Source organism: Homo sapiens, chromosome 16 (genome assembly GCF_000001405.40).
Source record: "Homo sapiens chromosome 16, GRCh38.p14 Primary Assembly".
Classification (NCBI taxonomy): Eukaryota; Metazoa; Chordata; class Mammalia; order Primates; family Hominidae; genus Homo; species Homo sapiens.
The window spans coordinates 56,793,482-56,818,193 of NC_000016.10; the positions used below are offsets into that span (position 1 = coordinate 56,793,482).

General features: G+C 41.0%; 1 protein-coding gene across 4 annotated transcripts in view; it reads left to right on the plus strand.

The window, feature by feature from the left end:
• The window catches only part of NUP93 (nucleoporin 93), a 120,158-nt gene that overhangs the window by 63,353 nt on the left and 32,093 nt on the right, over positions 1 to 24,712 (plus strand). For all 4 annotated transcript variants that reach the window (NM_014669.5, XM_005256263.4, NM_001242795.2 and 1 more), the window contains 2 exons: positions 4,995 to 5,057; positions 12,023 to 12,151. In NM_014669.5, the coding sequence (NP_055484.3) occupies positions 4,995 to 5,057; positions 12,023 to 12,151 (192 nt within the window). The remainder of the gene's footprint in view (positions 1 to 4,994; positions 5,058 to 12,022; positions 12,152 to 24,712) is intronic.

Consider the following 24,712-nt stretch of genomic DNA (forward strand, 5'->3'; position numbering starts at 1 on the left):
CAGTTCATCCTTCACGTTCCAGCTCCCTTCTCCAGAGAACTCATTTTCTCATAAGCTATATGAGTACATCTCCTGGGTGAGGCATGAGAGGCGTATCACAGGAGAAGGAGTTTGGAGAGAAAGGAAACACATGGGTAGGAAAGGGAAGTCAGGAGATCTGTGGGGGACCTGGACTGAGGCAGCTATGGTTCTGCCCAACTTTTTAGTTCTTTAATTCCATTGGGCTGTTACTTTTCCTTGAGGTGTGGGTTATTTGAAAGAAACTCACTGCCACTAGATGGCACACAGATCCCAGCAGTATTCTGATGTATAAATTACTATTTTATACTTTGGGAGGCTGAGGCGGGCAGATCACGATGTCAGGAGTTCGCGACCAGCCTGACCAATATGGTGACACCCTGTCTCTACTAAAAATACAAAAATTAGCTGGGTGTGGTGGCGTGTGCCTGTAGTCCCAGCTACTCAGAAGGCTGAGGAGGCAGAAGAATTGCTTGAACCCGGGAGGTGGAGGTGCAGTGAGCCGAGATCACGCCACTGCACTCTAGCCTGGGTGGCAGAGCGAGACTCCATCTCTAGATAGATAGATAGATAGGTAGGTAGGTAGGTAGGTAGATAGATAGATAGATAGATAGATAGATAGATAGATAGATGTGTTATTATTTTTAAAAATATTTTGAAAAGACAGAACACGTGTGTTTTTTAAAATAAAATATGATGTATAACCTATTTAGCACTTCATTTTAGAAAGGAAGAAAGGATGAAAAATTAAAATTCAAAATCTATTTTGTGGGCTCAGTTTGTGCTTAGAGCCCAGTTTTTTAAGTATGTAATGGTTAATGGTCTTTGTTTATATGTGGGTGAGGTTTGACACACACACACACGCTTCATTTAATTTATTGAGAGTTCTAAAATGCAGCTTTATAGTAAATAAAGACCAGAGTAATCTATCCCAAAACAATAATGTCTTTTTTTTCTTCTGTTTCATTCTTACTTGAAATTTCATCTCTCAGAAATTTGGGAATTGCATTTCTTGCAGAATATTATTTTGCTTTTCAACAAATGTGGTCATTGCTTTGCATTTGTGTTGTAAGTGTGTGTGTGATAGAGAGAGAGAGAGAGAGAGAGAGAGAGATGTGAACATGGGTGTCATTAAAAGAATGGGATAGGCTGGGCGCGGTGGCTCATGCCTGTAATCCCAGCACTTTGGGAGGCCGAGGCGGGTGGATCACGAGGTCAGGAGATCGAGACCATCCTGGCTAACACGGTGAAACCCTGTCTCTACTAAAAATACAAAAAATTAGCTGGGCGTGGTTGCAGGCGCCTGTAGTCCCAGCTACTCGGGAGGCTGAGGCAGGAGAATGGCTTGAACCCGGGAGGTGGAGCTTGCAGTGAGCCGAGATCGTGCCATTGCCCTCCAGCCTGGGCGACAGAGCGAGACTCTGTCTCAAAAAAAAAAAAAAAAAAAAAAAAAAAAAAAAGAATTGGATAGGCTGGTCATTATTGACTGGGAAGAACAGAAGAAGCCCAGAGAAGGAATATGACAGAACACCAGACTTAACCCAGGTCCCTCCCCTCCCCACAACCAAAAAGAAAATATTAGACCAGGCTTTGTGAGGCAGTGGTAATCCCCTCCCCTCTCCCCCACTACCCCCAAACGTAGCTTGTTTGGACAATCAGCAGCATAGCGGCAGCCACAAAAAGGTGCCACAGAGCAGAATCCATGCCTACTCATTGTTTGGGAGCATTAGTCATTGATAATAGTTTCATAGCTTTGTTTGTGAACCGTGACACTAAAGCCTTTAGCTTTAGCCACATTGGAGACCACTAATGAAAATGTGTTTATACTAAAGGTTTGTTGACTTGACATAATCATTTGCTGTGAAAGGTACAAACAAGGCCCATTAAAATCTGCCATTGTTTTGTGTCTGGGTCCCCTGTGATAGCCAAAAGCAGGTAGGTGGTGACAAGCTGCCCCCTTCTGAATGAACCATGTGGGTTCCTAGCTTTATGTGCTCTGGTTTATTAATGTCATTACATTATTAGGCAAATGACCATGCCATTCGCCATCCTACCCCCGTTATCAGTATATGTATTTGCAGAGTCTTCATGTTGTGTCCTCAGAGCTGCCTGAGAGGCTGTGCTGGAGGAATATTTTTATTTTTATTTTTATTTTTATTTTTATTTTTTGAGATGGAGTATCTGTCACCCAGGCTGGAGTGCAGTGGCGTGACCTCAGCTCACTGCAACCTCTGCCTCCCTGGTTCAAGCAATTCTCCTGCCTTAGCCTCCCGAGTAGCTGGGATTATAGGCGCCCGCCACCACGGCTGGCTAATCTTTGTGTTTTTAGTAGAGACAGGGTTTCACCATGTTGGCCAGGATGGTCTCGAACTCCTGACCTCAAGTGATCCACCCGCCTTGGCCTCCCAAAGTGCTGTGATTACAGACGTGAGCCACCGCGCTCGGCCATGGAGTCTTTAAGAGGGAACTATTTCCTGGGCTGCTGGTCATTGTTCCTATCCATCCCAGTGCACTGCCCAGGTTTTTGGGGTGTGACAGCACCTGTTGGGGAGACATAGGCCAATACGTAAGGAATCTGGGAAATCTATAATTAGTAATGTTTTATTTAAATGTATATCCCCAATATTATCCTGCCTCCCGACCTGCCTCCCCCACCTTCTTAAAAAGACTGAACAGAATACACTAATGTGCCACATAATGATGTTTTGGTCAAGGACAAACCCAAATATACAACAGTGGTCCCATAAGATTACAATACCATATTTTTATTGTACCTTGTCTATAATTAGATACACAGATACTTACCATTGTGTTACAGTTGCCTGTAGTATTCAGTACAGTAACATGCTGTACAGGTTCGTAGCCTGGGAGCAACAAGTTAAACCATATGCAGCTTGGTGTAGTAGGCTATACCATCTAGGTTTGTGTAAGTATATTCTGTGGTGTTCACACAATGATGAAATCGCCTAGTAGGAGCCTTTCTCTGAATGTATCCCTGTTATTAAATGATGCTTGACTATATACTAAAACATTACAGTTGCTAAATTATAAAATGATCAAAAACTAATTAACCATGACAGTACGTTTCCAATGCAAGAAAACGATTGTGTTTTAATTTAGCTTGTCATTTGAAAAGCTTTTGCCAAATTCTACTTTGTATTACATTTTCCCACAGTTTCTTTAAAAAGCAAAAACACAGCTGGGTACGGTGGTTCACACCTGTAATCCTAGCACTTTGGGAGGCCAAGGCGGTTGGATCACAAGGTCAGGAGATCGAGATCATCCTGGCCAACATGGTGAAACCCCATCTCTACTAAGAATACAAAAATTAGCTGGAGTGGTGGCACGTGCCGGTAGTCCCAGTTAGGAGGCTGAGGCAGGATAATCGCTTGAACCCAGGAGGCAGAGGTTGCAGTGAGCCGAGATGGCGCCACTGCACTCCAGCCTGGCAACAGAGCGAGACTCCATCTCAAAAAAAAAAGCAAAAACACGAGGCTGGGTGCGGTGGCTTACGCCGGTAATCCCAGCACTTTGGGAGGCAGATCACTTGTGGTTGAGCCAACGTGTTGGCCTCATCATGGCCAACATTGTGAAACCCTGTCTCTACTAAAAATACAAAAACTAGCAGGGTGTGGTGGTGCATGCTTGTAATCCCAGCTACTTGGGAGGCTGAGGCAGGAGGATCGCTTGAACCCAGGAGGCTGAGTTTACAGTGAGCCAAGATTGTGCCACTGCACTCCAGCCTGGGTGACAGAGTGATTTTAGACATGTATAAATGCACCAGTAGTGACATGCTTGTACCTTGCATTGGAGTATAGGTGGATCTGATGTGTAAGGTAACTTGAGTTCTTCATATTACAACTAAGACTTTGATCTCTACATGTCAATTGATGGGTCATCTTCCTTGTTCCTACTCAGCCCCCCACCAGCCCAAGCTATGGAAAAGAAACTGCCCCCTTGTATGAAGAGCAAGGTGTTGGCGGGGAAGTGCACTCTGTATATCTGTCTGTCTGTCTGCAACTGTGGCTATCAGAATAATGTCTCAGCCCTTTTCCTGTCAGATCTCGGCTGAAGCAAATAAGGACAATGAACAGCAGCAAAGAGGTCATCCTGGGCATCTCTTTCACTAATGGAAGTCACCAACAGATCTAAATCTAATCGATCCTAATAATAGAGCTACATGTATTGAGCCTTGGGTCAATAACTTGATTACATTATCTTATTTTTTTTACAAACAAATAAGCTGAGGTTTAGGGAGTTTGGGCGACCTGGCTAAAGTCCTGCTACTAGTAGTAAATGGAGGCACTAGGATTTGAAACTGTCAAATTTCAAAGCCTATCCTTTTGGCCATTGTGTTACAGGCATTTAACCTGTTTATATTAAACTAGACTTGTAGGCTGTCTTTTCACCTCACCTGTATTAAACGAGCAGTGGACATCATCAGACCTGAAACAGAGAGTGCACATGGCAAAACGCTGGAAGAAATGTGTAAAGAAAGGATTTTTAGAATTTCCCAGATATTGGCCAACAAGTGAAAAGCACATAGACAAGTGGGCAATGATGATGTCATCAATGTTAGGAAGAAATTAATTTAAACCAACAGAGAAATATAGACTAAGGAACAGTTAGAGGAACTGTGACTAGCTCCATCACCAAGGCTGTATCTGCAATATGAGCCATTTAGGAATTTTGAAGGACAGTCTTGACTTTCCACTTTTTACATGTTTATGGGATATAGAACCCCACACTGTTGTTTCATGGGGACTTTACTTTCTAACAATCATCATGTGCTCCCAGAATGGAAGAAACTAAGAAACATCTGTAAAAGTCATCTATGTTGATGTTTTCAAGTTGGGAGAGTTTTGTGAGGTGTAGGTAGCATAGTAGATACCATTATGGTTATTGTTTGCCCTGCAGTATACTTTTGATTTTTTGAAAGTTAATTTTAAGTTGTGTTAATTTTCCCCCATTTATAGGGCTTCCTGAAGAATGAGAAGGACAATGCCCTGCTGTCTGCCATCGAAGAGTCCCGGAAGAGGGTAAGAAAATTAACCAAAATGTAGATGTATACAGATGAGGGCAAGAGGGCTGGGCGTGGTGGCTCACATCTGTAATCCTAACACTTTGGGAGGCTGATGCAGGAAGTTCGCTTGAGCCCAGGAATTCAAGATCAGCCTAGGCAACATAGTGAGACCCCATCTTTACAAAAAATGCAAAAAATTAGCTAAGCATGGTGGCACACGTCTGTGGTCCCAGCTACTCCGGTGGTTGTGGGAGAATTGCTTGAACCTGGGAGGTAGAGGCTTGAGTGAGCCGAGTCGCGCCACTGCACTTCATCCTGGGGGACAGAATGAGGAGCGAGACCCTGTCTCAAAAAAAAAAAAAAAAGCAGATGAAGGGTAGCAGTATATACTAGGGGAGTGTGGGATCTGGAAGCTGGAATCTATCCTATGCCCAGTTCTCTCCTACAGAGAGAGTTCTACAGGAACCATTTTTTGAGGAGAATACCATGCTTTATAACTCTGTATGTATTTAGTGACTGAAATGCATCTGAGACACTGGACTGGACAATTAACTATTAAATTAATCTTGAAATGGAAAGACCAGAAAATTAGTGGTTTCATTGTTATTGTATAAATGGCATTTTGGTTTCTACTGAATCAGCAGTTCAGAAAAGCAGCTGACAATTTCCTTCAACTTAGTTTCCTTTTATTACACAATATGAGTGGACCACCTTTTATATTAACAATTTCTCCAAGCTCAAAAAAAATAAAAAAAGCACACACGCGAAACTAGCTCCATGCTTGAAAAGATGGTAAATAAGTCCGCCAAAGACCAGCCATTATATGTGCAACAATATTCTGCAACAAGCAGTCCTGCAAGATACTCAAAGATTGTTTACTAACATGTGAGTTATCTCCATTTATTTCTGACAAGGATCCAAATATCAAAACCTTTCCATAACATCCCATTATAGTGAAAGAGATTTTTGGGCCACTGGGGCCTTTTGATGAGGGAAAAGAAAGGCTAGTTGTCCTGTGGAATTGGTTCTAGAAGTGCAGCTTTCCCCAGGAAGGAGGCTGGCAGGATACATTCCATCAGCTAGCAGTGGCCCTCTCTGCAAAGGGTGTAGGCTTGAAGTGACACCTCTGTTTTGCTGTTTACTTATTTAATTCTTATATCCAGTGAAATTTATTTATTATGTAGTTCAAAAATAATAAAGTGAAAAAAATGCTGCTTCTCAGTGTGCTTTATTAAAATATTCTGTGAAGGTGAACATGTCTCAGTAGTACTGAGGTGAAATAGGGCAGCAGGGAGACTTGCCAGCTCCATTTTATAAGGAAATGTTCCAAAGTCGTTATTTAAATGACTGATATGTTTAGTTATCAAAATAAAATTCCCATCATGCACAGTGGCTCACGCCTGTAATCCCAGCAATTTGGGAGGACAAGGCAGGTGGACCACTTGAGGTCAGGAGTTCGAGACCAGCCCAGCCATCATGGCAAAACCCTGTCTCTACTAAAAATACAAAAATTAGCCAGGTGTGGTGGCGCACACCTATAGTCCCAGCTACTCAAGAGGCTGAGGCAGGAGAACCGCTTGAACCTAGGAGGCAGAGGTTGCAGTGAGCTGAGATCGTGCCACTGCACTCCAGCCAGGGTGACAGAGTGAGACTCTGTCTCAAAAAAATAAATAAAATCCCCAAAATTTCATTAATTATATTGTTGGCAATAGTACTTAGTCATAGATACAGAGAAATTCACTTGATTCAGATCTGAAAATATTTTTAAAAGGGTTTTTTTTGGTTCACACATTAAGTGAGTTACTCACCAACATTGATTCTCCTGCTGTAAAGGACCAGTGAAATTAAATTAGGATTGTTGAATGCTACCAAGCTTTATTAATCCATTTACCCCGCAGAATGTGTTTCTGGAATTGGCAGTCTCTGAACATTGTGCCATACTGAGACTAAATGTGCAGCCAGCCAAAACATTTAGGTGACATACCACAGTGCAAAATGTGTGCATATGTGTTTGTGAGGGAGGCATTCCAGTGTTGGGAGCCAGCCTAGGGGGAGACCTTTGACCTGTCTGGACACCAGGAAACTGCCACTGAGCAAGAATCATTTTCACACAAAAAGTGAGCAACTTTCTGGTATTTTTGTGACTATTTCATGTTTGAATAACTTGCCAGTGTCCTGCTGAAATGCCAGGAAAACAAGCTACAAAACCACAAGTGTGTCCTGTCTTTCCCCATTTGGTACATCCAGGCAAAAACAGAACAACATTATCAGAACATATGCAGTGTTTCTAAAAGCCAGCAACAGTGCAGTAATAAACGGGTGTGAAGTCAAAGCATATTGCCCTCTTCCCTTTATGAAAATGGGGTTCAAATGCTCCCCACCTGCTCTTAATTCAGCTGTCCAATTCTTCCCATGCTTTTTTTCTTAACTGTGTTCAAAGAGAAATATTTTCCACACATAACAAAAACTTGAAAGATTCAGATTTAATTTATAATAATTTCTCCACTGTTTTGTCATTTTCTGTGGATTGTTTTGCCTTCCTTTTAATTTTTAGATCTCTCCACACTTCCAGTTTATCCTTTTTCTTGTCTATTGAGTTTCTTCTTATCACTGCTTCCCACCTCACCTTAGACTCTCATTGCCCTCCTCTTCTCTTAGTTATTAGTTGAGCAGTTCTGTTGATTCCCTCTCATTAGTTCCTCTAGTTAGCATTCTTCTTTGCACTTTAGTTCAATGGTTCAGATGTGGATATAAACAGAATAGATTGGAATGGGACAGATGGGTGGCTGATCATCCCTGGTTAGCCCACAGATTGAATGTTCCATTACCTCTAATGTAATTAAGATAAGCTGGGGGTGATGCAATTAAGGGAAGAGAATTTTGATATTGGATCATTTATTTATTTTTTGAGACAGGGTCTTGCTCTGTCACCCAGGCTGGAGTGTAATGGTGTGATCTCGGCTCACCGCAACCTCCATCTCCAGGGTTCAAGTGATTCTCCTGCCTCAGCCATCCGAGTAGCTTGGATTACAGGCGTCTGCCACCATGCCCAGCTAATTTTTGTATTTTTAGTAGAGATGGGGTTTCACCATGTTGGCCAGGCTGGTCTCGAACTGCTGACCTCAAGCAATTTGCCCGCCTGGGCCATTTATTTTTATTTGAAGCTCTTTATCACACTAATGGTAAATAGAACTACAGCACTGTTCATTCAGGTTGTGAGGGTGTTTCTAAATGAGTAGCCTGGCATACTTTCAGATATATCTGAGGATTTGAACCCGGAAAGCTGATAGTTTTCAAAGTACTTTCAAAGTGCTAAGCAGGAGTTCTTGGCACACAGGCAGGCAGCCCAATTAACAGGGAATGGTTAATTCCCACTGTTGTCATTCTGACCCTTACCTGATGCTGAAAGTCTGTCTCCACTGTCCTCTTCAGCAGTCTCTGTGGGTGGTGTATTGTCTGTTTTCTTTAATTGCCTTTGCTACTCTGCCACTCTTAGCCAGAGGTCTTGTCCTTAAGAAAAAAAGACTTGCTACACTTTGTGGTGTGCTCACCCCGTGTTGCAGCTCAGTAGGCTGTATAGCGTATCAACCTCCCCCTGCCTCCTAACTTCTACCCTACCTGATCCTTATGCCACCTGGCCCTCCATTTTACCTTGCTGGGAGAGGCTAGAGGCTGAGGAGGCAGTTGGTTTGACCACTATGTAGGAAAGTTTTAGACAAAATTGTGGCTCACACTTGTCCATTCTTTCTGGACAACTTCTAAGAAAATTATCTCTTCCCCCCCACCCCCACCCCACCTTTGTGTTCCATCATACTTCTCTTGATTTAAAATGCATAACTTTCATGTTTAAAGTTTACAGATGTGAGCAAGAAGCAAAGGTTTTTCTCGGTATTTTTCAGCTCAGGCTAACTGACTGGTATGGTCCATTCTGCCTGACTCAGTGAAAAGAAAAAAAACAGTTGGAAGACTGTTTTTAAAATTTGTAATTATCATTTCTCCTGTGTCTGCAGAATATGTATTAGAAAAGGGTCCAGCAACGCACCAACCTTCTTCCTAATCACGTGTCATATGTGTATGTATGTCTGATGTCCTTTTTCACATTTTAATAAATATTGGTCTGAAACAAAACATCCCAATTGTAGGAAGAGTATATGTATGTGATTTTTCTAACAGTTCCCCAAAGCTCATGCATATCAATATTATCAGTATAAATTATCTGTGTTGCCAATAATAAAGCAGGCATTGCTAATACTCATTCCCTTATTGCTGCCTAATTAGATGCCAATCTGATTGTAAATGAAATGGCTTTTTGAAAAGGCTTAAGCTGATGGGAAACCTGGTCTGCCAATTGGAGAATAATAGGCTGAGAATGGTCATAATTCAATCTATCTATGTTGTTTTAATTCTCAGATTTTTTTTGGTCATCTTCCTTCTTCCCTCTCCCACCCCCTCCCCAGACTTCCTTTCTTTTTTATTTTCCTTCTGAATGCCTTTATTTTCGCAGCTACCTGCAACTACCAGTAGACAGTAGCTTTTCAGTAACTTTGAGTAGCTTGGTAGGCAGTTTAATCCCAGAGGGCTCTTTTTCTTTTACTGGTTTGCTTCCTCCTATGAAAGTTTAGTGTTTCTTTAAAAAATCAAATCAAATCACTGGGGCCTAGTGCAGTGGTTCACACCTGTCATCCCAGCACTTTGGGAGGCCAAGGCGGTCGGATCACTTGAGGTCAGGAGTTCGAGACCAGCCTAGCCAACATGGTGAAACCCTGTCTCTACTAAAAGTCTTAACACAAAAGTTAGCCAGGTGTGGTGGTGCATGCTTGTAATCCCAGCTACTTGGGAGGCTGAGGTGGGAAGGTGGCATGAACTCAGGAGGCGGAGTTTGCAGTGAGCTGAGATCGTTCTGCTGCACTCCAGCCTGGGCAACAGAAAAAAATAATAATAATAATAATAAAACACTGGGAGAAACTTGTTTTTTCTTATCTTAGATGTTTATTATATCGTAAGATACTATTGATTTTATAATCCGTCATTATTTTATATGCTACAAAGAAAAAATACTGCTATGACATACGATCTAATTTCAGAGCTTTTATAAAGATGTTTATATTAATAAACACATGGAAAGATGCTCAACATCATTAATCATTACGGGAACATAAATCAAAACCACAGTGAGATACCACTTTACACCGATTAGGATGGTTACAAGCAAAAAACAGGGAAAAATATATATATATATATATATGGTTTTTATGTTTTTGTTTTCTGTGACAGTCTTGCTCTGTTGCCCAGGCTGGAGTGCAGTGGTACAGTCACAGCTCACTGCAACCTCTATTCTCATGTCGCAGCCTCCCAAGTAGCTGGGATTACAGGCACACACCACCACACCCAGCTGATTTTTGTATTTTTAGTAGTAATAGGGTTTTGCCATGTTGACCAGGGTGGTCTTGAACTCTTGACCTCAAGTGATCTGCCTGCTTCAGCCTCCCAAAAGTGCTGGGATTACAGGGATGAGCCACCACGTGTGACCAGAAAACAACGTATTAAGTGTTGGTGAGGATGTAGAGAAATTGAAACCCTTGTGCACTGCAGGTAGAAATGTGAAATGGTACAGCCTCTATGGAAATAGTATGTCGGTTCCTCACAAAATTAAAAATAAAATTACCTTGCAGTTCCACTTGCAGTTCCACTTCTGAGTATATACCCAGAAGAATTGAAAGCAGGGATATTTGTACACCCACGTTTATAGCATTATTCACAAAAGCCAAGAAGTGGAAGCAACCCAGGTGTCCATCAGTGAATGAATGGATAAAGAAAATGTGGTATATTCATACAGTGGAATATTTTTCAGCTTTAAAAAGAAAGGAAATTCTGACACTTGCTACAACTCTTAAGGACATTATGCTGATTGTCTCTGGCTTATTTCACTCACAAAAAGACAAATACTGTATGATTCCATTTATGTGAGGTACCTAGAGTAGTCAAATTCACAGAAACAAAGTAGAGTGGTGGTTGCCAGGAGCTAAGAGATGGTGGTGATGATTGCACAATAATGAGAATGTACTTAATACCACTGAACTATACACTTAAAAATGGTTTATGTGGGCTGGGCACGGTGGCTCACACCTGTAATCCCAGCACTTTGGGAGGCCGAGGTGGGCAGATCACCTGAGGTCAGGAGTTTGAGACCAGCCTGGCCAACATGGTGAAACCCCGTCTCTAGTAAAAATATAATTAGCTAGGCGTGGTGGTGGGCGCCTGTAATCCCAGCTACTCGGGAGGCTGAGACAGGAAAATCACTTGAACCGTGGAGGCGGAGGTTGCAGTGAGCCGAGATCGTGCCACTGCGCTCCAGCCTGGGCGACAGAGTGAAACTCTGTCTCAAAAAAAAAAAAAAAAGTTTATATTTTACCGAAGTTTTATTAAAATGTCTTAAAATCAGTGAAATACGGTATGTTGCAAACAGTTGTCAGTAAGTTTATTTATTTATTTATTTTTTTGGAGATAAGGTCTTGCTCTGTTGCCCAGGTTGGAGTGCAGTTTTTTTTGTTTTGGGACAGGGTTTTGCTCTGTCACCCAGGAGGGAATGCAATGTTGCGATCACAGCTCACTGCAGCCTCGACTTCCTGGGCTCAAGTGATCCTCCCACCTCAGCCTCCCAAGTAGCTGGGACTACAGGTGTACACCACCGTGCCCAGCTAACTTTTTGTAGAGAGGGTTTTGCCATGTTGCCTAAGCTGCTCTCGAACACCTGGGCTCAAGCAATCTGCCTGCTTTGGCTCCCCAAAATGCTGGGATTACAGGTGTAAACCACCACGCTCAGCCAGTAAATTCTTCAAAGATAATTTTTAAAGTAGATTGCTTTTTCTCTACCTATGGAGAAGTGGTTGGTCTGGAGGGCTTTAGGTTTCTGTTGGGTCTTAAACCATGTTTTTTTTGTTTTTTTCCTGAGGGTCATTGTTCTCTGTTCCTTTCTGGCAGACCTTCGGCATGGCTGAGGAGTACCATCGGGAGTCAATGTTGGTTGAGTGGGAGCAAGTGAAACAGCGAATTCTGCACACACTGCTGGCATCAGGAGAAGACGCCCTTGACTTTACTCAAGAAAGCGAGGTAGCTTGAATGCAAAAGATAAACTACTGTTAATAAAAACATGAAGTCAAAGAATACTTGTCTACTTGACTAGTATTTTTGGCACAGTGGATCACTGTCTTCCCCTTGAAACACTTTCTTCACTTAGCTTTTAGGATGCCGCATTTGCCTGGACTTCCTCCAACATGTCTGCCTGCTTCGTCTCAGTCTCCTTTGCTGAGCTTTCCTCAAATTCCCTGACCTCTATAGGTTTGAGTGTCCCAGGGCTCAGTCCTTAACCTCTTCAGTTTCTCTCTCAATCGCTATCCTGTGATTTCATCTGGGGCTTGGGGCTTTAAATACCTATCATCTATATGTCAAAGAGTTTCAGATTTACGCCTGCAGCCTTGAACCTTAGTGTTAATTTATCTGGTTAATTTATCTAGCCAGTGTTAATTTATCTAGTTGCCTTCTTGGCTCTGCTTGTGTGTCTCATTGCCCTCACAGGCTAAATATGTCCAGAATTGAGTCATGATAGCAACTCCTTCCCTATCCCCCTTCTCTTCTCACAGAGTTCCCTATCTTTATAAGTGGCAATTCCAGTTTTTCACTTGCTCAGATCAGACACCTCAGCCTCACTTTTGTCCTCTCCATCTTGCCCATCTGACACCCAGTCTCTTTCACATGTTGACAAATCCAGTTAACCCTACCTTAAAATATACCCAGAATCCAACCACTTCTCACTGCCTCCACTTTTAACACTCTGGTACAAATCACTGTCATCTCTTGCTTGGATTATTGAACTTGGCCTCCTAACTGGTTGTTGTTATTGCCGTGTAACAGATTACTCCAAACCTTGTTTGTTGAAAACAAGTGTGTAGCTTCTTACTTGGTATTTCTGGCTCAGGGTCTCTAAGCACAATCAGGGTATTGGCCGAGGCTGCACTCATTTCAAGGCTAGACGCAAGGAGCATCTACTCACAAGGTCATTCACATGGCTGTTGGCAAACCTTAGGTCCTTTCTGGCTCTTGGCTGCAGAAATTATTTTCTTTTCAAATGGGCCTCTATATTGTGCTGCTCACAACATGATAGCTTGCTTCCCCTAGAACAAGAGGGAATGGGTCCAAGGGAGAGCTAAATAGCCCCCAAGACAGAAACTATCATCTTTCTATAACTTAAAAGTAGTATCCCACCTCTGTTGGTTAGAAGTCACTAAATCCAGCCTACACTCCAGGGGAGAGGATTATACAAGGGCTTGACTACCAGGAGGTGGGAGTTATTGGGGCCATCTTAGAGGCTGCTGACCACTCTGGTCTTTCTGCTTTTGCTGTTGCACGCTGCTACAGTCTCTTCTCAACACAGCAGCAAGAACGCAACTATTAAAGGACAGGTTAGATTGTGTCACTTCTCTGCTCAGAACCCTTCAGTGACTCTCATCTCACATGGAATGAAAACCAAAGTCTTCACTTTGACATGTGGGTCCCTACATGACATGGTCTTGTTGCCTCTCCAAGCTCATCTTGTGCTGCTTTCCCTGTTGTTCTTGCTGCACCAGCCGAACAGGCTTCTTACAGGTTCCTTCAGCAAACCTGGTAGCCCTGCTTCTGCCTCCAGTCCTCTGTGCTTCCTATTGCTTCTGCCAGGAATGCTCTTCCCCCAAAGGACTGCATGGCAGTCTCTCTCACTTCCTTCGGATATTTACCCATTGCCATCTCAGACCTTCCAAGGCCCTGAAATCCAAACCAACCCCTTCTTATTCAACACTTTGCATATCCCCTTCTCTTGCTGTATTTTTCTTTTTGGCACATCCTTCTATGTGCCATAGTATATGTTTTATGTCTTTATATTGTCTCTTTCTCCCATTAGAATGTAAGCTTATTGAAGATAAGGATCTTTGTTTTGTTTATTCCTTTATCTCCAGTGCCTGGAATACTGTAGATGCTCAGGAAATATTTGTTGAGTGAATCATTTGGCTGTAGCTAACTTCGTACTAACTGAACTGTTAGGGATATATTGAAGCAGTGTATTATAGAATGATTATGTTAAGTAGCCCTTTTCTTAATTGCCAGTGTTAATTGACTGACAGTAGTGCTAAGTTGAAATTTTTTTCCCTCTTTTTAAAATTTAATTTTAAAATATAGGCAGTGTGGCCCGGGCGCGGTGGTTCACGCCTATAATCCCAGCATGTTGGGAGGCCAAGGAGGGTGGATCACAAGGTCAGGAAATCAAGACCATCCTGGCCAACATGGTGAAACCTGGTCTCTACTAAAAATAACAACAATTAGCTGGGCCTGGTGGCGTGTGCCTGTAATCCCAGCTACTCCAGGGGCTGAGGCAGGAGAATCACTTGAACCAGGGGAGTCGGAGGTCGCAGTGAGCTGAGATCCCGCCACTGCACTCCAGCCTGGTGACAAAAGGCAACTCCGTCTCAAAAAATATATATAAATATATATATTTCTAAAAATATATATAAATATATATAAATATAAAAATATATAAATATACACACACATATAAATATATATTATATAACTATATAAATATATTTATATAACTATATATAATATATAGTTATATAACTATATAAAATATATAGTTATATAACTATATAAAATATATAGTTATGTAACTATATAAAATATATAGTTATGTAACTATATAAAATATATAGTTATGTAACTATATAAAATATATAGTTATGTAACTATATAAAATATATAGTTATGTAACTATATAAAATATATAGTTATGTAACTATATAAAATATATAGTTATGTAACTATATAAAATATATAGTTATGTAACTATATAAAATATATAGTTATGTAACTATATAAAATATATAGTTATGTAACTATATAAAATATATAGTTATGTAACTATAAAATATATAGTTATGTAACTATATAAATATATAGTTATGTAACTATATATAAATATAGTTATATAACTATAAATATATAAAAATATATAAATACATTTATATAAATATTTATAAATATATAAATACATTTATATAAATATTTATAAATATATAAATACATTTATATAAATATATAAAAATACATATATTTATAAATATATAAAATACATATATTTATAAATATATAAAAATACATATATAAATATATATAAATACATATATAAAATACATATATAAATATATAAAAATACATATATATAAATACATATATAAATATGTATATAAATACATATATAAATATAAATACATATATAAATATATATATAAATACACATATATATATGCAGTGTGGTTGTATCATTCAGATATTAAAGCACCCTGTCCCCAAATACCCTATTCTCTTCTCCCTTTGTCTTCCCCATAGGTAATCACTATTAGTACTTTCTTGTGTAAATTTGCGAAGTGTCTTTATACAAGTATATGAGACTGTATGTTCTTATCCCCATTCCTTCTTACAGAAACGTTAGCTTACTGAATGCTCTGTTCTGCATTTTTTCTTTTTTCCCTTCATGTATCCCAGAGGTCTTTCCTGAGAGGGATTTTGAGGCTACATCCAGGAGCAGCAAAAAAGATTGTCTCCCTTTATCTGTGATTTTTGCCTTTGTGCCAGAGGGAGCCAGGGCTTGCCACACATTTACCACCCTGGTGTTGAGGGAGGACAGCCCTGGGCTTTTTGCTAGCTTTTCCAAATCAGCAGTGACTAGTTCTGAGGCTTTGTCCAAGTTACTTAATTAACCCTGCAGACCTTCAGGGTCTTTACTGATTGAAGTGAGATTATTGGGGAAGATTAGTGATAATGTAAAGCACCTGACCCATAATAGCCATTCCCTATTATCTTTTAAAAGCAGTTTCATGAAATTTAGAGGTGAAGATTTAAAATTACGTTACAAAAATTATGGTGCTAGGTGTTTTCAGGTAATATCATCAGTGCTTCCTGATAAGTCTTTTTTTCCCCCGAAGTTGTTTCATGAGTAGCTAAGATTCTTTTTGCACATCGAGATAAGAAAACTGAGGCTCAGAGAGACACATAATATGCTCGTGAGACCCAGGATGGTTGGCCTGTGGACTCTTACTCTACTGAAGTCTAGGTCAAGGATAGGTAGGTTGGCAAAGGGTAACTGCACATCCGGTATCTATTCCTGGTTTGTTCCTGATTTAAACACCAGGGTTTTTGGTTTTGTTTTATTAAACTAGCCCCCAAATAAACAGATGCCAAAGTCATTGTGTTGGGAAATTGCTCATTAAGGACCCTGTTCCTTATTTCTTAGACCTAAAGATTTCAGACTGAAATCAGTCTTTGGAAACGAAAAACAAATGTATAATATCGTTGGTCAAACTAATGTTTCTTTCTCAATTCTTTGTGAATCTGAGCAAATAATTAGAACAGCTCATGGTTTTATAAACTTCACTTTTTAAAATGGTGTTAATAGGTTGTGTTCTGTATTGGGATTTGGATGTAATTATAAATTGATAATGGGATGTTCTTTCTTGATTGCTCTTCTCGTAAAAATAGAATAGTCTGTTTAGTAGACTCTTCTTACTTGACCTCAAGTCCCCTTGGAAGGGAGTTATCTATGCTTTTCCTATCTGTTGTGACACCTGGCAGAGTAGTTTGTAAATGTTGGCAAGTGATGTATACAGGTCTTTCTTAAGATTATCCAGGGAATTGCCCTTTTCCGGAATCTTACAGATTTTGTTGTTTGTTGTTTGAACTTTTTTCCTGATGTATAACGTATAGATGGAAAAGTGCACAGACGTAAGTATGCAACTCAGGCTGAGTGCAGTGGCTTATGCCTGTAATTCCAGCATTTTGGGAGGCTGAGGCAGGAGGATCACCTGAATCCAGGAGTTTGAGACCAGCCTGGGCAACATAGTAGGACCCCGTCTCTACAAAAAGAATTTTTTTAATTAGCTGGACATGGTTACATGCTCCTGTAGTCTGGGCTACTCAAGAGCCTCAGGTGGGAGGATCGCTTGTGCCCAGAAGGTTGGGGCTGCAGTGAGCTGTGATCGCACCACTGTACCCCAGCCTGTACACCCAGCCTGGGCAACACAGTGAGACTCTGTCTCAAAAAATTAAAAAATTTTTAAAAAGTGTACAACTCAATGAATCATCACAAATAGAACACACCCAGATGAGGAAACAGAACATTACCAGCGCCCCAGAAATCCTCTTTGTGGTCCTTTCTGGTCACCAGCGCCCCAGAAATCCTCTTTGTGGTCCTTTCTGGTCACCACCCACTATCAACAAGAGAAACCACTATCTTGACATCCAATATCATAAATTAATTTTGCCTGTTTTTGAACTTTATGTAAATGGAGTCATATAGTATCTACTGTTGTTTCTAGCTGCTTTTATGTAACCTTTTGTATATTATTGCATGTACTTTTAAGCCATTCATTCTCATGGCTAAACAGTATAACTGCAATTTGTTTATCCATTCTAGTATTGGTGAACCTTTTAGTTTCCAGTTCTTTTATAAATAGTACTATGGTGAGCATTTTTGTGTGTTTTGGTGAGCACATATTTGCATCTCTGTTGGGTACACCTAAGAGGGTAATTGCTGAGCCAGAGGGTATGCATATGTTCAGCATTAGCAGATACTGCCAAACTGTTTTCCAAAATGGTTATATTGGAGTACCCTCCCACCAGCAGTATGTGAGAATTCCATTTGTTCCATATCCTTGCCACACTTGATGTTTTCTGTCTTTTTAAATTTAACCATTCCAGTGTGTATGTGGAACCTTGTGTTTTTATAGGCCTTTTCCATATAATTTCCTTCAAAATAATGGAAAGTTGATACTTCACATGGACAGACACCTTGTCCACCCTCTTTATAGGAGACTACACAATGTAAAAGGCATAAGACAGGTTTTGGTATTCAGCAGGCTTTGGGTCCCCAAGCCTGGGCTTCCTCATTATGAAATATCATTTTGTTTTTGTTTTTTTTTTTGAAACAGAGTCTCACTCTGTCACCCAGGCTGGAGTGGAATGGCGTGATTCTCGTGCCTCAGCCTCCCGAATAGCTGGGATTACAGGCATGTGCCACCATGCCTGGTTAATTTTTGTATTTTTAGTAGAGACAGGGTTTCACCATATTGGCCAGGCTGGTCTCGAACTCCTGACCTCAAGTGATCTGCCCTCCTCTGTTTCCCAAAGTGCTGTGATTACAGGTGTGAGCCACTGCGTCTGGCCATGAAATGTCTTCCTTAAAAAACTGTTGTTACGTAAGGAATGTAGACTATGTAAAGTGGCCGGCCCAGTGCCTAGCATAGTGTACACAGTCAGCATATTCTAGCATTCTTTGTGCGATTGTTGGTATTTGGTAAGATACACATTTTTACTTCAATCATTTTAATATGGATCCATCTCTTTTTAAGTGTTTTCCTTGATTTATAAAGTATTGTTAGGAATCAAAAAAATCTTTGCATATAAATAGAGGAGATAATTAAAGGAGTATGACAATATCTAAAACATTCTTTTCTGGGTACCTTATTGTCAGGAATAAGGTCGTTGGAATACAGAGTCAGTTAAGAAGACAGCTTCACATAATTTTGAGCTGACCTTAACACTTGAAGGAAAATGTCCAAATTCTGGTAATTTAATATAAAGAGAGGCTCAAAGCTTTTTTTGTTTGTTTGTTTAGCAAAAAGTAGACTAAGATATAGTGGTTTCTGAAACATGTTTTTCCCCCACACCTTCCAATAACAGGAGTTTCCCCCAGTTCCTTCTAAAGGAGACATTGGTAATATCTGTTCCTAGCAAGTTGTTTTTTTTTCTTTTTTTGAGACAGAGTCTCGCTCTATTGCCCAGGCTGGAGTGCAGTGGCGCGATCTTGGGTCACTGCAAGCTCCGCCTCCCGGGTTCGTGCCATTCTCCTGCCTCAGCCTCCCGAATAGCTGGGACTACAGGCGCCCGCAACCACGCCTGGCTAATTTTTTGTATTTTTAGTAGAGACGGGGCTTCACTGTGTTAGCCAGGATGGTCTGGATCTCCTGACCTTGTGATCTGCCCGCCTCGGCCTCCCAAAGTGCTGGGATTACAGGTGTGAGCCACTGTGTCCGCCCCCCTAGCAAGTTTTAATAAAGGAAATGATGCTTCAGTAGCATAGAGTCAATTTGGGAAATTAATTTCCTTAGGATATCATTGGAAGAAAAAGGTATACTTTTTAGAGGAAAGTAGGAATTGAAAGATTGTTACTAACTCTTTAAGTTGTGATGTGAATAAAAATGATGTGCTTTGAAACAAAAATGAGACCCCTGGCTACGAATCCTCACGTCGCAGTTTTTGCATCTGCTCAGCATGAGGAAGAACTTCCCTATTGAGGCTTGCATGACAGCATGCAGGATTTGAGCAGTTTGGGGAATCTATGATGTACCTTAGCCAACTTTTAAAACAACATTTAAAGGTAAATTTAACCTGAGTGTAGTCTAGTGGCTGCTTTGTGGTATTAGACATAGTCTATGAACAATCCCTTAATGTATTGTCTGGAACATGACTCAGCAGGAAATCTCACTAGGGAAGCTAAACTATGGCTTAATAAGTATAGATAATGATGGTAACATTCCACACTATGATATGTAAACAGTGTATGTTGAACATAGTCTCTAATTTTGATAACTCTTAATACCATATTCCATCACTTCTCAGTCATGCATCTGTTTTACATCTCAACATCTCTCAAATCAGGATATGTCTTAAATTCAGCAGTATATCATTAACAGCATTTTAAAATTTCTTATTGATACATAACAGTGTTTTACAATAGGTGGACTATTAGATGAAATGAAATATAGTAGAATATGAACTAACAGTTTGAAAACTGCAGACCATAGGATTCTGAGCTGTATTTTGTGGCTCCCTGGCAGTTTCCTTGGGGATGGACCCAGTTCACCTGTTAGGGGTTTGAGTAGGAGTTCAGGTATAGAAAGTGCTCTGCTGCTCTTTCAAAAAGATTTTTTAAAAACCTCATCTCAACAGGCCCTTGTCTGATCTTGTGCGCTTTTCTGACAGTAGAGGAATGTAGACCCACTCTGCTGCTCTTCCCCATCCTGCACCCAAACACAACCTGTCAGTGGTGTATACCCTTCCAGTTTCTCCCAGGGGCTTACATGCACATCTGTATATCTTATCGATTTATTATCTCAAATAGTATCATTTTATATATTAGTTCCTATAATTTTGCATTATGTTTTTTGTTTTACATATTTTACAACTTCTCCTAGGTTAATACACATAGGTGTCTGTCGTTTTTTAGTAGTTCTAATAGTGTTCCAGCCTATGTGTGGCCCAAGTATTCCTCTCATTTTGTCCATGGTCACACAATCTTAGTAGGGTTAATAAGGTCACACAGTTAATAGCTGGGTTGCATTTAGGACCCTAGTCCTCTCTGGTCCCTGGTTGGTGTTTTTTTCCCAGTAGTACTGGACTTTTGCCTACAACTTTTAAAGCTAACTATTGTAAATTAATCACCGTGTTTCCATTTTGCTTACATAAAGCCAAAACATTCCACTTAGAAATTAAATTCTTTTCCGTCTGCAGTATCATCATATTTTCTTACTACCCTATATTCATTTTGCTAGGAGTGCTAGTTGCATTCCTTTTTTTTCTTTTTCTCCCCCACCTTTGAGATAGGGTCTCTGTCACCCAGGTTGGAATGCGGTGGCGCAATCTCAGCTCACTGCAACTTCCGCTTCCCGGGCTCAAGCGATCCTCTCGCTTCAGCCTCCCAAGTATTATAGCTGGGACTACAGGCGCGTTCTGCCACACCCAGCTAATTTTTGTTTTTGTTTTTTGTAGAGACGGGGTTTCGCCATGTCACACAGGCTGTTCTTGAACTCCTGGACTCAAGTGATCCGCCTGCCTCAGCCTCCCAAAGTGCTGAGATTATAGGCATGAGCCACCACGCCCTGCCTGCATTTCGTTTTTTTCTAACTAGAATGTGCTTTCCTTGGGAAAAGAGTTTTATGCATCCCTGAATACACTTTGTACAATAGTAGGTGCTTAATACAAGTTTGCGGTTCCCTCCTGCCACTTTCGGTCCCCATCCTGTCCTGGAATGGCTGTCTTGGGAACACCATCTACTCTGACGAGACTTTTCTCAGTTTGTGCTCCCAGAGGCTGCTGTTTTTCCACATATCTGTCTCCAGACTCCTGGGTGAGCTGCTTGTTTTCTTCTAAAAGAAGAAACCCTGTTGTCTTCCCTGCTCTTTTGGTCTCTGGCTCCCTGCTCCTGTCATCTTGTCCTGTCGTCCTTGCTATGGCTCCGCCAAGCCCCAGTGCAGAGAACCCCAGAGATTGGTGGCTTTCCCAGCCCTCAGGCAGTCCCTGGCTGTGGAATTCCAGCTAAATATTTGCCGGTTCCTCTGTTCAGGAATGTGCACGTACACATCCTCTTGTGGATAATTGACTTTATGTGCGGGGAAATAGCGGCTTGGTCAAGGGCAACTGAAGGATAGGTACCTTTGAAAACAAGAGCATTAGGCAAAATTAATTTAAATGGAAATTTGAAGGCTGATACCCAGCTACTGTTTAAATGGATAATTTTAAAAATTAGGTTTTTAGCACTGGAAAATATTTCTCAAGGCTGCTCATGTATATTTAGCTACAACAACTGTGTCCTTGCAAAAATGCTTTAGTGCTGTTCTCCTTTTCATTTCCTTGTTTATTCTCCTTGACTAGGTTTCTGGAATTAACAGGCTTAGTGCTGTGTCCTGTAAAAAGACTGTGGAATCTCCAGCTTTTGGATAGCTCTGTTTTAGAAAGGTGGCTGTCTTAGAGAACAGTCCTTAATATAGTGTTAATAGGAAGACTCAGAATGAGTCCAGAAGTATAAAATGCCCTGGCTGGGGGGCTTGGTGGGGGCTTCCATCAAACAAGGAATGTGTATTCATTGTAGAAAAATGAAATGAGACTTTCAGCCTGCACAAAGTGAAATACTTTAGGTCATATTTCTGAGGTGTCCATATCTGTCTGTTGTTGTGGAGCGTAGGATTTGCTCCTGTGTTCGTTGTGGTGGTTTCTTTTTGTTTATAAAGTGATAACAGCTAGTGTTTATTGACCATATCTTGGACACTGTGTTGAAGTCTTCCACTTATTCCTCACAACAGTGCTGTGAGGTAGGGATTCATACCGTTTTTCTCCCCATTTAATCTTCATCCCAATCCTATGTGGTGGATACCATTACCACCCCCACTTTACAGCTAAGGAAACTGAGGCTTAAAGGCAGCAGTATGCTCCAGGTCACATTGTTGTAAGTAGTGGATCCAGGATTTCCAGCTACTACTGCTACTGCTGCTGCTGCTGCTGCTGCTGCTGCTGCTGGTGCTGCTGCTGCTGCTGGTGCTGCTGCTGCTACCACTACTACTACTACTACCACTACTACTACTCTCTACTGTTCTGTGATGAATGTTTTTGGAGAGTTGCCCTGGGCAGCCCTGGCAGGCAGGATAGAGCAGTAGCAAAGAGTACAGAGTGTGGTGCCAGACTGTGGATTCAAGCCACAGCTCCACTGCTTCCTACTGAAGTGAACTTGGGCAAATTGCTTCGCGTCTCTGTGTGCCTTTGTGTCTTCACCTGTAAGATGGATAAATAAATAAAAGTACCTACTTCATAGGGTTGTGGAGTTAATAACATGGAAATTCAAATAGTGTTGGCACATAGTAAGTGCTCATTAATAGCTGTTGTTATTATTGTAACCCAGTGGTTTTTTAAATTAAATCTGTGTTTCAGGTAGGAATGCTTTCAGCTGTGACAGGTGGAAACCTTGAGCTTTAGTAGCTTGAATAGGGGTATATATTTCTCACCTACCAAGATGTCTGCAGGTGTGGAGAGTGTTGATGTTAATCCAGTTGTTCTGCAGTGCCGTCAGGGACCCAACACCTTTCTGTCCTGGTACACTACCTTCTCTAGCACATCCATCTACTTTAGGTTCACAAGATGGCTGCAGGAGCTCTAGACATTATATTTGCATTCAAGGCAGAAAGAAGGGGAGAGAGCTGAAAAGCCATGACAGGCCCCCCGCCTCAACCCTCCAATCAGTAAAAGCAGAAGCTGTCCCCAAGTATACTAGCAGGCTTGTGTTTCCATCTCATTGGCTAGAACTAGGGTGTGCCATTCCTTGATGTAGTAGAGTCTGGAAAAGGGTATATTCAGTGGTGTATAGGGATCAACACATGAGGACCTGTTGTTAAATTTTCAAGGAATTTGCGGTCTAGTTGATATCACCTTGAATAGCTTGAAATCTGCCATGGTGGGAGAATTTAAACCGCAGACACCAGCAATGCTACCCATCGTCCCTTTTCCCAAGAGCTGGCTGTTAAGAAACATTTACCAGCACACTATTGGGTACATTTATTCGGTTGGTGCAAAAGTGATTGCCGTTGAAAGTAATGGCAAAACCTGCAATCACTTTTGCATCAACCTAATAACTCGAAATGCCAGCTTGAAAGGTGGCAGAGTGTAAAGATGTGAGAAGTAGGAATTGGGAGTGATCATTGTGCCAGCCAGCAGCATCTACCCAGATCAGTGAACTGTTTAAGCTCTTTTAATACCAGTGATAGCTGGAGATCAGAGCTGAGGGGACCTCTCAAGATCACCTAGGATAGCCCCTTCATTTGACTAATGGGAATCTGAGGAGGTGCTTTGCTTCAGAAGCCAAAGCCAGGGAGTGAAGTGGCCCTCCTGGAACCCAGGCATCCTTGACACTCCAGTGTTCATTCTCCAGAACCAGGGGCTTCAGACTGCCTTTCTGATAACTTCTCTCCCCTCTCTCCCCCTCTCCTGGTGCATGCCCACTGTACTCTTCCTTTTACCAGCTTCATAGTGCTGGGAAGCTTGGCTGTTATCTTCCCCATTGGTTTCACAGAAAACCTAGTTTAAACTTTGATTTATTTTAGATTTTAGTGTATGGAACATTCAGCTTTTTTTTATAAATGAGATAAGCTTAAAGAATTTGATCTCTGCTATGCTACAGTACAAACTAGTCAGTGGGAACTTAAGAATTTACCTAATTTTGATCTGTATTTCTTTACAGAAGAAATAAGCTTGGCTAAAGATGAATATTCTTTCTTTAAAAAGACTGAAACTTTTTTCATACACAGTCATACATTGCATATGTGATGGTGGCTGGCTTCATAAGATTATACCGTATTTTTATGTGCCTTTTCTATATTTAGTTATATTTAAATATATACATACTTACCATTGTGTTACAGTTGCCTACAGTATCCAGTATAGTAATATGTTGTACAGGTATGTAGCCTAGGAGCAATAGGCTGTGCATACAACGTAGGTGTGGAGTAGGCTAAACCGTCTAGTGTGTGTAAGTATACTTTATGAAGTCCACACAATGACGAAATCTCCTAATGATGCATTTCTCAGAACCTATCCTATTTTTAAGTAATATATGACTGTATTTTTATTGCACTCTCCTCTTCAGATTGTAAGCTCTTTGGGGACAGGCTTCGCAGGCTGGGTTGTTTTTGTTCTTAGGGAGATGGATATATGTACAGCTGTGTATGTGGCAGGCACTTAGCAAATATTTACTGAATGAATGTCCAACTTGCCCTGGTCTCACATCTTCAGATAACAGAAAAGTAATCAGCAGCTGTTGTCTTA